The following is a 15,678-nucleotide window of genomic DNA, read 5'->3' as shown; positions in this document are numbered from 1 at the left end:
GAGGTCCTAGCCGTCGCCCTGCAGGTCACGGTGCTCAGGCCCCTTCTCCGGGTTTCCCTGCAGAGTAAAAATGCGCCCCACAGCCAGGGCGAATACGACGTGTACAGCACTTTCCAGAGCCACGAGCCGGAGTTTGACTATCTCAAGAGCCTGGAGATAGAGGAGAAGATCAACAAGATCAAGTGGCTCCCACAGCAGAACGCCGCCCACTCACTCCTGTCCACCAACGGTGAGGCGCTGCCCGGCCTCGCTTGCATGGGCACAGGCCGTAGATGTTTCTACCAAATGCTGGTTTGTATTTCACTTATATTGTGAGCATTTTTCTATGTCTTCAGAACGCCTAGAAAATAATATCCTTTTTGAGCAGCATATAAATCCCATGAGTGAGTATGCCAGACCCCCTCAGACGCTCCCTGTGTCTGGACACAGGGCTGCCCCCCTTTTTGAGCAGCATGTAAATCCCATGAGTGAGTATGCCAGACCCTCTCAGAAGCTCCCCATGGCCAGACACAGGGCTGCCCCCTGCTGTGAATAGAGCCATCCGAGCCATCTTTGTAGGCCTTTGCTTTGGGGTGAGGGAGTGTGATGGACAAGGATGCAGGTCGCAGACACGGGGGATATTTGACACAAAGTGAACCCCTCCTCCCCACGCCGAATCCAGACCCCTAGACTGGGGCTGTCACCGCGGCCTTGCGGGGCAGTGGGAGGAGCCTTGGTTTAGGACCCCGGCCGGCCTCTTAATCCTCTTGCCTCAGGGAGGAGCATGTACCCCTCAGGCACCGGAGGCTCTCGGCCTGACGCCTGCTTCCCAGGCTCCACTCTGAGGGAGTGGCTGGGGCTGTCCTGCTTGGCTCACCATGGGCCTGGGTCCCCCACTCACGCCCCCTGCCCATCCTCCTTCACCTGGGCCCCCTGCGGACCCAGGCAGCCTGGGGTCGGGTAGGACACACCTGGATTCTTTTTTTTCTTTTTTTGAGAGACAAGAGTCTTGCTCTGTCACCCAGGCTGGGGTAGAGTGGCGCGATCTCTGCTCACGGCAACCTCCGCCTCCCGGGTTCAAGCAATTTTTCTGCCTCAGCCTCCCGAGTAGCTGGAATTACAGGCGTCCAACACCATGCCCAGCTAATTTTTGTATTTTTTAGTAGAGACGGGGTTTCACTACATGTTGGCCAGGTTGATCTCGAACTCCTGACCTCGGGTGATCCGCCTGCCTCAGCCTCCCAAAGTGCTGGGATTACAGGCATGAGCCACTGTGCCCAGCCAGGACACACCTGGATTCTGTCCCTGCCCTGCCTCCCTTGGGCAGTGACCTTGCTTTCCTGAGCCCCAGCAGGGTGGACACATCTCCCTTCTGGGGTCCGTGAAATGGTGCCCACTCAACCCCCTGAGAACAGTAACCGCTGCACAAGCACCAGCCAGGCTTCGAGGTGCTGTCCCCACGCCTTCCCCGAGGACGTCCACGCTCCTCAGCGGGGCCTCCAAGGCTCTCCCGAACATGGCTAGGCGCAGCTTCTGCCAGCCCGCCTGTGCCTGAAGGCTATCCTCGCCCTGTACCTGGCCAACTCCCTCCTCATCCCATAAGCCTTGCTGGGTGCCCGCCTTTTCTGACCTCTCCACTGAGCCAGGCATCCCTCCTGTGACACCCTGGCTCCTCTTAACTCCGGTTCACCCCCTCTCTGGGCACCTGCTGTTCTGATGGTGTTCTCCCGCCATGCACCTCAAAGGCAGGATCTGTGTCCCCTAAGGGGCCCTGCCCAGCAAATCTGTCACCTGAGCCAGCAGAGCATGAGAGATCCTCCCGAAGGGCAGGCCCTGGGGGACAGGAGCCTCGTCCTGTCCCCATGCACCTGCTCCTTTTGAAAATATTTAAGAAGGACGTGTCAGCCACATGCGGTGGCTCATGCCTGTAATCTCAGCACTTTGGGAGGCTGAGATGGATGGATTACTTGAGCCCAGAAGTTTGAGACCAGCCTGGGCAACGTGGTGAGACTCTATCTCTACAAAAAAATAAAATATTAGCCAGGTGTGGTGGTGAGAGCCTGTAGTCCCAGCTACTCAGGAGGCTGAGATTGAAGGATCATCTGAGACCGGTAAAGTCAAGGCTGTAGTGAGCTGAGATGGTGCCACTGCACTCCAGCCTGGGTGATGTGAGTGAGACCCTGTCTCAAAAGAAAAAAAAAAAAAGACATGTCACTTTCTTCCTGCCTCTCTACAGAAAAGGTCATCTTTCAGCACTCCCTACACTCCGCTCCCCTCAAAGCTTCCCACCTGGGTTTGAATCCTGGCTTCACTCTTTCCTAATGGCAGGGCCTTGGGTACCTTTCAGATGCTCCACTGACCCCAGTTCTCAGTTCTCTTCCCAGTTCCTTCTCATCAACATGGTGCTATTTGTTTTGACTCCTGTAGTAGTCAGGGTTCTCCAGAGAAAAAGAATCAGTAGGGTATGAGAGTGAGAAAGAGAAAGGGGGATTTATTTTAAGGAAGTGGCTCACCTGACTGCGGAGGCTGGCCGTTCCGAAATCTGCAGGGAGGCCGAAGGCTGGAGGCCTCGAGACAGAGCTGCAGTTCTGGTCCAAAGCCGTCTGTTGGCAGAACCCCCTCCTTCCCCAGGAGGTGCCTCATGATTTCACCTTCTAAAGTGGATCTTCTCTTCCATCCGGCTGCTTAATTATGTGACTCGCTTTATTTTGTTCTGTTTTTAAAGATAAAACTATCAAATTATGGAAGATTACCGAACGAGATAAAAGGCCCGAAGGATACAACCTGAAGGATGAAGAGGGGAAACTTAAGGACCTGTCCACGGTGACGTCACTGCAGGTGAGCTCCGGTGAGGGGGAAGCAGGCACACGCCTCTTTATTACACCTGAGGATTTTAGGGCTGGAAAAGCCTTTGAGATTTGAGCCAGAGTCAGGTGCAGACCCTGGTTGGGCTGCTGGCTGCTGGGCGGCCACGGGCGTCTTCCTGCCCCTTGCCTCAGTTTCCTCACCAGCAGCATACAGATGACCACGTTTCTTCTAGGCTTCTTGTGAGCATGCAGGGGTGGTGTATGGCTGTAAAGTGCTTTTCACCTATAGCTGAGGGTGGAGAGCAAGGCAGATAATCCCTTGTTATAAGAAGGGGGAAACTGAGGCCCAGAGAGAGACAGCAACTCACCTAAAACTGCTCAGCTGAGTGAGTAGGCAGAGGCAGAAAGAGAATGGGTCAGCAGAGCTTTGTGGCTCCTGAGTCCTTTACTGAGGGCAGAAGGAAGCCTGGACCGTGTGAGGCCTTCAGCATCTACAAAGGCCTGAAACAGACATACCCTGAAACAGACACACACGTGCCCAGCATCCAGTGAGCCGCCATAAATATAAAGCAGTAGTCAGTGCTCTTCCTGAGAAGAAGAAATAAATGTTTAAATACATTGGCCTAAATGACTGGCAAATTGCACAAATAAATTCTGAGGAAGTGGGCAGCCGATTAGCTTCGATGTTGAGTAATGAGGGTGCTGGTGCCCCCTGCCCCACCCCCCGTCCCAAGAAAGTTTATGAGGGTTTCATCTAGAGGGAAGGATACAGCGATCACATCTTGATCACCCTGGTGTTTGGGGCAGAGCCAGTGGCCTTCATAAAAATCCTGTTTATGTCCCTCCCAGCGTTGGAGATTTTTCTCTGTAAGTCACACACATCCCAAGACACTTAACTGTCACTGAGAACCTGGGTGCCCTGGTCTGTCCTCATCCTGCCTCTCACCTTGTTTGCTTCCGATTTCACCCACGCCACGCCAACCCTGCACAGCATTCTACCCACCCTGCGCAGTTCACACTGGAGGCAGCTGTTTACTGAGGAGCTGCTCCACGCTAGGCCCCGGGCTAGCCCTTGGGGCCCTAGAGGTGAGCAAGGTTCAACTCAGTACCTGTCCCCAAAGTGTCCCCAGCCCCCAAGGAAACAGACATGGAATCGCCATCACACTGGCGCTCAGTGCGGTGACAGAGGAACACAGAGAGGCCGTGGGCACCCCAGGAGGCCTTTCTCTACTTTGTCAATTTGGTGAACTCCCATACATCCCATAAAACCCTACTGGCCTTCACCTCTGTAAAGCCTTTCTGCGCAGGCCAGATGACAATTGTGATCTTTCCTGTGTCCCCTCTTGCCTTTTGGATCCGACACTGTCTGTCCTTAGTGTCTGTATCTTCCTTGCCCCTCATCTTGACTAGACTGTGGCTTCTGCGGAGGCAGCATGTTTTACTCATGAAACCCCCAAACCTTCAGGGAAGGTTTCCTTTCTCTCTTCTTCTCTTTACTAAAAAACTGGTTTTGAGCTCTGGTTTGGTGGATGGCAGCAAATGGCTGGAGCACTGGATGAACTGGGTCCCAAGGCCGCCTGGAGAAAACAGAAAGCAATGTTGCCGGAAGGAAGCAGGAGGTGGACTGAGATGCCAAGACTTTGCTGGGCCAGTGATGCTCTGCCCTTCTCCAGAGCAGCTGGGCTCCCTCTCTCTCCTGAGAGTCCAGGGATCCCCAGGGTGGGCAGTGGCTGCACCCCGAAGGAAGGGAAGGTTAGCAGCATAGCTAAAATATCTGACACAGGAATACGTGCAGGGAGGATGCCTTGGAGGAGTCACACTAACACCAACTCCCAGGCACACAACCTAGAAGCAAAGACACAGAGGCAACAATGCAAGAACCACCCAGAGCCAGGCTGTCACTCACACCGGTGCTGCGTGCACACACACACACACACACACACACACATGCATGCACATACACGTATACTCAGTCATGCATGCACACTCACATGCACACTCATATGCACACACTCATACATGAACTCTCAGCCATGCACACTCCCACACACACAGGCTGGGTGCCCTGGTGTGTGGGAAAATTTAACGTGGGCTGCAGAGCTGCCTCTGCTCCAAAGGAGCTCAGTGCTTGTCACTCCGACTGCAGCACCGAGGCTGTCACCTCCCATCTCAGCTGTTCCCTGAGAGCTCAGGGACACAGCCCATTCATTCATTCTCTCACACATTCACTCATTCACTGGAGAGTCTCTCTGCTAGGCCTTGGACTGAGCGCTAGAGAGATGGAGAGATAAACAAGAGGTGACGCCTTGCTCCCGTAGCTGATCCCTAGTCCACTGGGAAAGCTGATGGGACCAGTTGACAGCCTCAGGGTTGGTCAGGGCTGTGCAAGGGACCTTCAGGGCTGTGAAAGCTCAGTGTCTGATGCCATGGCAAGGACTCCTCGCACCAACTGTCTGAGATGAAAGTTCGTATGAGTCAGGCTAACTCCACCGCTGTAACAAAACAACACCAGCAGTCCAGGGCCGAGCACGGAAATGCATTTCTCACTATGGGAAGGTTCGATGTGGATGTGCTGGTTGGGACACAGCTCTCCTGCAGGATCCTTCCATCCCCATCCCATGAGTCTCAGTCCCTAAGGCTTGGGTCCTCACCTTCCAGGTGGGGAAGGTGCTCCCGCTGCTTAGCTGCATCAGGGCCAGGTATCACTTTGCTCACATCCCATTGGTCAGAACTAGTCATGTGGCCATGTCTGGGCACAAAGGCTGCTGGGAAATGTAGTCCACATGTAGACAGCTGTTTCCCAGTGACAGCACTGCATTGCAGGAGGAGGTGAGGAGGCCTGGCAGACAATTGGCTGGCTCTGCCACAGTATCTTTTTGTTTCATTTTAGAGTTGAGGAAATTGGGGTATAGGAGGGTTCAGCCACTTATTCACAGACCCACAGCAGGTAAGCATCCATGCCTCTCTTGCAGGGCTGGTGGGCGGCGGGCATTTGCCATCTGTCACTGCCTATTTCAGACCACGGAGGATCAGGATGGACGCCCACCCCTGTGTTCCAGCCTCCGGTTGGGATCACATGCTCACGGCATGCTATGTCCTGATGCCACCACCTGGCCTTCACCTCTTCCCTGCCTCCTCATCCTCTGCAGGTGCCAGTGCTGAAGCCCATGGATCTGATGGTGGAGGTGAGCCCTCGGAGGATCTTTGCCAATGGCCACACCTACCACATCAACTCCATCTCCGTCAACAGTGACTGCGAGACCTACATGTCGGCGGATGACCTGCGCATCAACCTCTGGCACCTGGCCATCACCGACAGGAGCTTCAGTATCCTTCACTGTGGCCTGGCCAGTGCCTCCCACGGGCAGAGTAGCTTCCGTTGGGTGGTGGGTTTGGTTTGATTGGCAGACAGCTGGTTTGGGGATGGCTGCATTGTTTAACTTCTTCAGTGAGGCACCTCTGGCTCCTAGTATGCGTGTGAGGCCCAGATACAAAATCATGTCACGTCTGTTTCTGAAAACCGCAAAGTCGTGGTTGCTGAGCATTGCACCCATCGCCTCCTCCAGCATGGCCATGATCCCCTCATCCTAGGGCCTCACAAGGGGCCAGGAAGGAGACAGAGTTCAGGGTTCAGCTGCTCTGGACGAGGGACTGCTGGCCTTGCTCAGCGTCCACTGAAGGCGCCTCGGGGCCCTCCCCACTGGGACCCAAGGCAGGCTGTGTTAGCATAGGAGGACCAGCACTGGGGCCCCGGCCAGGGCTTCGGGTGACAACCAGGGTGTCAGAAGCCCAGCTGGGTTGGGGTCCTGAGGGCCCCCTGCTCGGTGTTCTCCTGTGTCAGGGCAAGCTAGGGGAAGCAGCAGCATTGACGATTCCCGCCGACTGCTGGGAAGAGAGCTGGTGATGACATGAGCACCAGCCTGCAGGCAGGGCGAGGCTTGGCCTGCCGGGGGGCTGGTGGGCGGGCAGGCAGGTTGCTGTGATGTCACTATTCTGCATACAACCAATGATAATAATAATTATAATAACACACAGTGAGACTCTGTGTGCCAGGCTCTGTGACTAACATCAACAAGCATTCATTTTAACTCATTTCACCTTCACAACAACCCTATGAGGTAGGTACTATTCTAAGTCTCCTTTACAGATGAGGAAACTGAGTCACAGAGCACTCAAGTTAACTTGCTCAAAGCTCACAGCCAGCAAGTGTCAAAGCTGGGCCTGAAACCCAGGCCCTCAGGCCCCAGAGTCCCCGCTTCTAACCTCCATACCACACTGCCCTTTGTGGAGGATGCCACCCAGGTGTGTCTTGGAAGGGGTGGGAAGACCCTCCTGAGAGCCTCCATGCAACTGGATGGCCTCCCGACTCCAGGCAGCCTGGGCACCCAGCAGTGGTCAGGAGTGGGCTGTGTCCCTCGGAGCAGTAGAAGCCGGGATAGCTGTGGGGAGCAGGGGAGGCAGGGAGCATTCCAGGAAGGGTGAAAGAGAGTAACAAATGGCTTTTGTGGTCTGAGATCCAGGCACAGCCAGAGACCCCTGGGCAGGGAGACCCTTGGAAAACAGCGGGAAGGGAACAGAGCAAAGCGTTGGATGTCCCCTGAGCCAGCCAGAGGGTGCGGGGCACATGTGTGGGCTTCGGAGGCAGAAAGTCTGTTTGGGTCTGACTGCCACCTTCAAGCTTTGTGACCCTGGGTGAGTACACTCACCTCCCTCTCCGAGACTCCGTCTTTTCAATCATGCCTCCTCATAGACCTGTGGGGTGCCGTCAGTGAGCCCCTATGTGTGATGTGCCGAACCCTAAGTCAGCACTTGGTGGGTATCAGGAAGCATCAGCATCTCTCTCCCTTCTCTTGTCCCAAAGGCATGGAGTGCCCAGAGCTGGGAGGCTGGATTGGGCCAGCCAGGAAGGTTCCAGGAAGGATTGGGACCTGAGCTGCTTTGAAGGCTTGAAGCTCAGATTTCTCTGGACATAGAGGGCTGGGCTGGACATCTGTCTGACCCTCCACTGAAGCCGAAAGGACATCGGGCCCCACCAGTCCACAGTGCTCATAGCAGCAGTTGGTTAGACTCTTTCTGCTGCACGAGCATGTTTGATGTGGATAACTGTAAGAGAGCTGCGGGCCAGGTGGCTTCAGGGGCTGGAGCATCGTGGGTGATGGCTCTCTGGGCTGATTGCCTCTGCTGTCTTCTGTGTTTCAATCTCAGGTGCCAGTAGTTGGGGCCCCACCCTCCCAGAATAAAGTCCAGGAGAAACGAGACCAGTTCTCTCTGAACTGTCCCACTAGGACCCTAAATGGCATCTTGTGGGCTCTAATTGGGGGTGAATGCCTTGTTGTGATTGGCCAGGCCGGACTCCTGTACCTCTCCCTGGTGCTGGAGGGAGTCAGCTCCGCCCCCAACCCCTGGATGTGGGGGAGGGGCGGTCTCCTAGCAGGAGCTCCAGGTCTGCAAATGGGGAGGGTGTGGGGCTCACTGAGCGGCCTGGACCGTACCGTACAGTTTACAAATCAGCCTGCCGTTCGTTGTCTCACTTGGTGCTCAGAGACAGTGGTAATTTGATGATCACCCCATTTCACAGATGAGGAAACGGAGGCTGGGGGAGATGAGGGACTGGCCCAGAGTCCCCAGTTGGCAGGGGCAGAGCCAGAGCTCATGCTCGGGCCTCCATGCCTGGTCCAGGGCTTTTGCCCTGGCCTCGGCCTGCCCCCTGCAGCCCTGGGACAGTGGCAGCCACCCTTCTCGAGCACCTGCTTCCTTCCTGCCGGACTTGGGTGGGGATGGTAATTGCTGCTCGGTTTTCCTGTCTGGGCTGCTGTGAGGATTCCGTGACACTATGGATGCCGAAACCCTTTCTAAAGAACCATAAAGCCCTAGAGTATGGAAGGGATGCTGCTTCATTTCATTTATTCAACCATTCATTCCCCACGCCTTTCTACTCCCAGGCCCACACTGAGCCCTAGGGACATGGGGATGAATGGGAGAAACTCAACCCTTCCCTGGAGGGCTCAGGGGCTGCTGGGGGACACAGCCCCGCCATGGCAGTGGAAGTGAGGGAGTCATCCTTGCTGTAGCCCAGGGTCTGGACAAGCTGCTGTGGGGGCCGCCAAGGAAGCCAGAGAAGGAATTTCGGTAGGAAGCTCCCTGGGCTCGAGGAGGCTGCCTGAGGGCATGGGTGTGCAGGAGGCGGATGCATGAGGAGGCAGAAGGTGCCGGAGCTGTGGCACTGTGGATGGTGCAGGCAGGGGGCTTTCTCTTGGGGTAGGGGCCCCGAATGCCAGTCATTCACAAAACCCCCCACAGCTGTGCCTGCCTCCACATGCCACGTGTGCTTCCCTTTACTTTTCCCATTTAAAAAAAATTGTTTTCTTTAAGTCAAGTTGCTTTATTTTTGCCGAAGTAATTTTCTTTTGAAAGGGAATTGAATTTCACCATGATAAGTTAAAGTATCACATACCATAAATAGGAGGTAGCCTCAACCATAACGGCTGTGCACACAAAATGGTGGGAATAAAATACAGGCTCAGCCCTGTCTGTTGGAACTTTCTGTGGTAGTAGACTGCTTCGTCTGCACTCATGGGGCGGCAGCCACCAGCCCCATGTGCCTGCTGAGTGCCTAAAACGTGGCTTGGTGACTGAGGAGCGACATCGTTAATTTGATTTAGTTCCAGTTAATCATACTTCAAACGAAATAGCCACATGTGGCCAGTGGCTACTGAACAAGGACGCTGCAGCCTCTCTCCAGGTTGCCCTTAGACCCTGAAGCTGGTTCTCTCTGAAAAGATGGAGGTAAACATGTGCTTCAATGTTAAGGGGGAGAGTGCAAAACAGAGACATCCCCCTTCATTCATCAGAAGGATTGAATCCTGTCTCCCCGTCTGCATCTATATTACATTACTGGAGGCTGTGCCGACTTCCCACCTGCCTGCTTCCAGGGAACGGGAAACTATGAAGCTATTGATGTACTGTAAACAGGGGCGTGTCACTAGCCAGCTTTGGAGGTGTGTATGTCGTGGGTGTGTGTCGTGGGTGGATTGGATTCCAGCAGACAAGGCTGGCGGCTTGGGAACCAGCAAGGAGACCCGGGGAGAGAGAGTGAGAGGCAGGGCCAGAGCGTGGCCACGGGTGGGAGGCGGTGGAGGAATGAGATTGTAAGGATGGAGGTGTCATAGATTTGGATTGTATCATAACCAGTTTTGGATCGGGGTGGCCACAAGACATTCAGACAGGTTGGCTGTAAAGAAGAAAAGGGGGTTGGTTCATCCCAGGACTGCAAAGTCCTCCCTGGCCGTTACCGTGAGCCTTGCCTCCTGTCCCGTCCCGAACACACAGATTGTGCCCTGTCCGCATGTTGCAGAGCACACCATTTACCAGCAGGTATTTATTAAGCACCTACTGTGTGCCAGCCCTCTTGGGTGATGCTGGAACTAGATAAAGATTCTGCCTCCAGGAGTGGACACGTGATAAACCATTGGTAAAATACCCGGCATTGGAGCAGGTGGTCCGTGGGTGCTACAGGGAGTCGGTGGCCCAGCCAGCGCAGCCGTGTACATTTCTCTCCAGCCACGCCTGCTGCTGGCTGCAGGCCTCAGGTCGGTGGAGGGTAAGCCAGGGGTGTGGTTTTTGCCAAGTGAGGATGTAGACACGGAGCTGATGGTGTGTGCAAGAGAGTGAAAATAATGATTATTGACCAAAGAATCTGAGCCAGGTGAGGGACAGTGACAAGGGAGGAGTGTCAGCAGATCGGGGGCCCCTGTGGATCCTGGGAACATCCCTGGCCGCACACCCTGCCGTGTAACTCAGTGTCAGATCTCTGTGTAACTTCCCATTCTGTGAAAATGATTATTAATTCATCAAAACATAAAGCACCCTGGCCTTAGTGATAGAGGAGTGTGTGTCTATAGCATGAACAAGATTCTGAGCTGGGCTTGAGGCAGCCCTGATAGGGCAACTTAGGCATTTGGCAGGAGTTGAGTGGAGTCTCCAGGGGCACATGGTGGCCATGGAAACCTCCCCGATTGGATCTATTCATTGGGGAACCTCAGTGCACCTGGTGCTCCCCATGGCCTGTTGCCGCTTGGCTCCCCATGGGGTGCTGCTGCAGTGACAAGACACAGATCCAGGGCTCACACCACAGAGAGAAGCCTTACTTGGCAGAGAAAGTGTGAGGACTGTGGGCTGCAGGTGCTGCGATGAGGACTGATAGCAGCCGAGTAATGAGAGGAGGCGTTTCATTTCTGACATGGGAGGAGGCCAGAAAGGCAGCTGAGACCCCATGCGGAGCTGGGAATTGCTCTGAATGTTTGAGATACCTTCTAAGCAAGTCTCAGTGGGGTGGATTCTGGCTGTCAGAGGGTGACAGTTCTGATGAGTCCTGACAAGAAAAACCCAGGGTCAGGAGGCCTGTGTCCGCGCAGAGCCAGGGGAAGGCTTGGGCTGGACTTGGGGTTTGCATCCTTCTGACCCCTGCTCTCTGGGGTCCTCACTCGGCCCGATGACACTGTTCAGTCCTCCGTGCCCACTGGAGGTTTTCCACCATGTCGCATCTCCTAAGTCCAATCACTAACACTTCCCGTCTCAGCAAAATGGACTTTTAGTAACCATATCAAGAGAAAGGAAAATGTTTCTTAGTAAAGGAGAAAAAGAGGGCATTGCTTTGACTATTGGACAATGAGAAAGGTGACTCAGAGGACATCTCTGCTGGAGGGAGGGAGCCTGGTGATACTGAGGCTCTGTGACCTGTCTCGGTGTAGTCACCAAGGTTCAAGGAAGAGGAGCCCTCCCAGCCTCCTCCCTCTCTCTCACCCTCAGAATGGAAAGAGGTGCCCAGCCCTCTCTACTCTCCCCAGACACTTGCCTGAATCCCGCCCTGTCCTGCCCAGAGCCTTCTGCACAGCTGTGAAATTGGCTCATCGGAACCTCTGGTCTGACCATGTCAGCCCCCCTTAAAACTCTCACGGGTTCCCCTCTGGCTTCTGGAGGAAGCCTGAGCCCCTCCACAGTGCCCTGTGCCTTTGGTGACCAGCCCCTGCCCACCTCTCGGGTCACACTGGCTCACTCCTTCAGCTGCTGGGTCCCTGGCATGGGGCAGGGTGGGGTGGAGCACTGCCATCCGCCATCCCTTCTCCTGACCATGCCATCTGCCTCTTTGGCCTGGCTGACTCCTGTTTGCCCACTTGCAGCATCTCACAGCCCATTATCTGGGACAGCCTCTGACCTGTCCCTGCCACACCCCTCCTAGGCTGGTCAGAGCCCCTCTAAGCCTGCGGCTCCTTGGCTGCCCCCGGTCACACTGAGTGTTTTGTTACTGTGACAGCCTCCTCCATTTTATGGTGGAAGCCCTGAGATTAGGAACCCAGGGTGAGGCCTCTCTGCATCCCCTGCTCCACATAGGACTTGGCGATAGGAGGTACTTATGAACGGTTGTAGGTGGAGTGGGCTGGAAGTTCACCACTTCCATGTGGTCTTAGGATACAGACACCTCCTTTTTGATCTGGGCGCCTGGGGAATCAGAGACCCCAGACCCTAAAGTGCAGGAGAAGGAGCCCGGGCTTTGGGCCCTGGCGGGCCTGGGCTGAGACCCATTGCTCAGCCTGCTGGGCCATCAGCTTCCCTGAATATAAAATCAGAAAATTCCCTTTTATAAGGATATTTGTAAGGAATAAAGAAATCTTTCACATAAAGAGCCTGGTGCCTAATTGGAGCCCAGCAAGAGGATGGTTTATTTTGTCTCTTAAACAACAGCCCTTCAAACATTTAAGATTGGTTCTCATAAAATCCCTGCATCTCTGATGGTTAAAACTCCGTTTTCCACGGTGCAGTTTCAACGTCTGTTTAAGCAACCTCTCGCGTCCTTTAATACCAACATTTTGAGACTGTTAACACAGCACTGGGTGATTTTTCTTGAGTCTGATGCATCTTAAAGGTAACAAATTGCACAGGAGGTCTCAGCGGATGGACCTCTGCTTTATTTTTAGCACCCAGAGAATTTAAAAGACGGTTCGATTGATTTTTCTCTCCCTTAGTGATTTCTCACGGTGGGAACTGGCATCACACCAAGCCTCGGCCTGGAGAATTTCTAATTCCCATTTACAGAGCAGGTCCGCACGGCCAGGTGGGCTGGAGGGGGGTGCAGCCATTCACCGCAGGAGGCTCAGAACCTTCATCAGCCCATGCCTGCCTGAAGACTCAGCTTGTCTTCTGTGCAGAGAACAAAGGAGGGAGCAGACACAGTCCCTCTGCATGCAGACTCTGTGCTGGGCCAAGGGACCCTGAGCCCAGGCTCTACCCCTGCCTCTGCCACTGACCCTGATCAGTCACTCAGTCTTTCTGCACCCCCTTTATCCCATGGGAGTGTGTCTCCTTTACCAGGAGCTGTAAAGGTGGAATGGCCGATGAGTATGGGGCCTGGTGCCGTGTAGACAAGCAACCCTCACCAGCACATGACCCACTGTCGGGTACCTTACAGGCCACCTCTTCTTCCTGCCCTTGGTGCTAATTTACAGAGAAGGAAACTGGGATGCCCTGCTCAGAAATGCTCTGTTCACGGCATGTCAGATACATACCACTGATGGCTGGGAGTCTGGACCCCTGGGTTCTTACTCCAGCTCTGCCACTACCTGCCCACGGTTCTGTGCATTCATTGGTTGATTCAGCAGCATTGGCCGAGAGTCTTCTCTGTGTTGAGCATTGGACTTGGTGCTAGGGAAGCAGACAGGGTCTCTGCCAGGGCCTGCGAGTACAGTTGTATGGGTTGTCTGCTGCCCAAAAGAGGTGATGATCCAAGCCAAGCACCTTGGGAAGAAGGGACTTTTTTGTTTTTCAGTTCTGCAAGGAAGAGCTGTCTTTTCATAATTGGCACAAAGGCACTTTCTGAGTGAATGGGGATCCTGATGCTATCCAGGTGAACTTTCTAGGTGAGCAAAAAGATAGTCTTCTTCTTGCTCAAGCCTCGATGAGTCCTGTGATCCCATCGTCCAAATGCACCCAGAGCCCACCTGCCTGTCTGCCCCCAGCATGTGTTTAGGCCACTGTCTCACTCTGATCATGATGGTGACCTGACTGGCCTCCCTTCTTAGGTCTAGGAGCCAGACTGCCAGGGCTCAGACCTTGGCCCCAAGACATAGGGACTCCGCGGCCTCGGGCAGCTCACTTGGGTTCTCTGTGCCTCAGCTCCTCACCTGTAAAGCGAGGAAAAGCCCCTGCTGACACCATACGGCTGCTTGAGGACTGGGTGCTACGATGACATCTGGGAAGCCTTTAGGGCAGTGCCTGGCAAATCACCGAGCTGCAGCATCATTGCTTCATTAGCTGTGTTTCCCCAGGTGTCTCCTTACAGTCTGTTCTCCTACAACATGAGAAAAAAAAAAACGACAAGATCATGTCACTCCTTGCTCAGAACCCTTCAGCAACTTCTCCCAACTGGAAGTAACTCCGCCCCTTTCTCTGGCCTCCAAGGCCCTGCAGGAGCTGGCCCTGGCCCCTCCCTGGCCCACTTCCTCCTCTCTCCCTTTGCTCCCTGGGCTCAGCGTTCCCGGCCCCCTGCTCTTCACCATATTTCCAGCCATCTCCTGCAGCAGAGCCATTTTGCACTGGCTGTTCCCTCCGCCTGTGAAGTTTCTCCATCCTCATCCACTCAGTGGACACCTTCTTAAAGAGGCCTTCCTTGACCAGTCTGTCGGAACTAGTCCATCCCCTCCATGACTCCCTCGAGCCCCTTCCCTAGAGGCTTGGCCTCTACCTCGTTCCCTGTTCATTTCCCGCCTCTCCCTCCTGGACTGGCAGCTTCTTGAGAGCAGGGACCTTGTTTGATCTACCTGGAATAATGCCTGGTCCAGAGTAGATGCTCAAATAATGGAACTAGTGTAATACAGTGAGATGGGTGTTAGGATAAGGTGGGGAGGACCCCGGCCTCCTTAGAAAGTCCTTGATGGAAAGGCATTGACACTGAGGCTTCTGTTCTGGACCTGCCACGTGGTCCCCTGGCAGTTTGCTTCACCTTCCTGGACACCAGTTTCCCCTTCTCTTGGCTGGACTGGTGTCCTGAAACTGGCTTTCATTTAGACAGTTGGGCTATCCTTGCCGGGTCTCCCTTGATCTGGCTATGTGTGACCTTGTGTCTTGCCAGCTGCTAGCATGACACAAGGTCACACACAGCTTGTAACAGCCAGGTGTGCACATCTCTTCCCAAATCCATGTTCATGGACATCTCTTTGGCAGCTTGAATTTGGCCATGGTGGTAGTATTTCTTTCTTTTTCTTTTCTTTTTTTTTTTGAGATGGAGACTCACTGTGTCGCCCAGGCTGAAGTGCAGTGGCTCAATCTCGGCTCACTGCAATCTCTGCCTCCCAGGTTCACGCCATTCTCCTGCCTCAGCCTCCTGAGTAGCTGGGGCTACAGGTGCCCGCCACCACGCCCGGCTAATTTTTTGTATTTTTTAGTAGAGACGGGGTTTCACCGTGTTAGCCAGGATGGTCTCGATCTCCTGACCTCGTGATCCACCTGCCTTGACCTCCCAAAGTGCTGGGTTTACAGGCGTTAGCCACCGCACCTGGCCTGGTGGTAGTATTTCTACAGATATCTACAAACACTACAAAATCAATCTCTCCCCTCCCCAGAAGAGAGGGTATTGTTCAAGTTACCAGCACACAACTGCTCTGGGGCCTTCACAAGGCCAGGCAGTTGGTCAGTCAGCCTCCAACATGACTGAGGGCTTCCTGCGTGCCATGGCTCTGTCCATGGTGCTGACCCCGTTGTGAGCCATTGCGTCGAGGTCAGCATCTCCACCTCCCACCCCACTGTCACTACTTGCTGTGTCACACGGTGTTCTGAGCACGCTGCCGATGTTAACTGGTTGAATCCTCCCAACAACACTATGTGGTAGGCGTTATTAATA

At 54.4% G+C, this 15,678-nt stretch overlaps 1 protein-coding gene across 9 annotated transcripts in view, besides 4 other annotated features; it reads left to right on the top strand.

Annotated features, from left to right (window-relative positions):
- The window catches only part of PPP2R2C (protein phosphatase 2 regulatory subunit Bgamma), a 243,219-nt gene that overhangs the window by 185,164 nt on the left and 42,377 nt on the right, over window positions 1–15,678 (top strand). For all 9 annotated transcript variants that reach the window (XM_047415891.1, NM_001206994.2, NM_001206995.2 and 6 more), the window contains 3 exons: window positions 64–229; window positions 2,705–2,817; window positions 5,936–6,113. In XM_047415891.1, coding sequence (XP_047271847.1) covers window positions 5,954–6,113 — 160 coding nt within the window. In that variant the 5' untranslated portion in view covers window positions 64–229; window positions 2,705–2,817; window positions 5,936–5,953. The remainder of the gene's footprint in view (window positions 1–63; window positions 230–2,704; window positions 2,818–5,935; window positions 6,114–15,678) is intronic.
- Window positions 1,249–1,929: an enhancer, noted in NCBI's record as "H3K4me1 hESC enhancer chr4:6378434-6379114 (GRCh37/hg19 assembly coordinates)". NCBI's record gives its function as "activates a minimal SCP1, AML or CMV promoter by ChIP-STARR-seq in primed H9 embryonic stem cells {active_cell/tissue: H9 hESC(primed)}" and the evidence as "EXISTENCE:reporter gene assay evidence [ECO:0000049][PMID:30033119]".
- Window positions 8,618–9,337: an enhancer, noted in NCBI's record as "H3K4me1 hESC enhancer chr4:6371026-6371745 (GRCh37/hg19 assembly coordinates)". NCBI's record gives its function as "activates a minimal SCP1, AML or CMV promoter by ChIP-STARR-seq in naive H9 embryonic stem cells {active_cell/tissue: H9 hESC(naive)}" and the evidence as "EXISTENCE:reporter gene assay evidence [ECO:0000049][PMID:30033119]".
- Window positions 10,085–10,825: an enhancer, noted in NCBI's record as "NANOG-H3K4me1 hESC enhancer chr4:6369538-6370278 (GRCh37/hg19 assembly coordinates)". NCBI's record gives its function as "activates a minimal SCP1, AML or CMV promoter by ChIP-STARR-seq in naive H9 embryonic stem cells {active_cell/tissue: H9 hESC(naive)}" and the evidence as "EXISTENCE:reporter gene assay evidence [ECO:0000049][PMID:30033119]".
- Window positions 10,826–11,566: an enhancer, noted in NCBI's record as "OCT4-NANOG-H3K4me1 hESC enhancer chr4:6368797-6369537 (GRCh37/hg19 assembly coordinates)". NCBI's record gives its function as "activates a minimal SCP1, AML or CMV promoter by ChIP-STARR-seq in naive H9 embryonic stem cells {active_cell/tissue: H9 hESC(naive)}" and the evidence as "EXISTENCE:reporter gene assay evidence [ECO:0000049][PMID:30033119]".

The sequence above is a fragment of the Homo sapiens genome, chromosome 4 (genome assembly GCF_000001405.40).
Source record: "Homo sapiens chromosome 4, GRCh38.p14 Primary Assembly".
Classification (NCBI taxonomy): Eukaryota; Metazoa; Chordata; class Mammalia; order Primates; family Hominidae; genus Homo; species Homo sapiens.
This window is presented reverse-complemented; position numbering and strand designations above follow the sequence as displayed.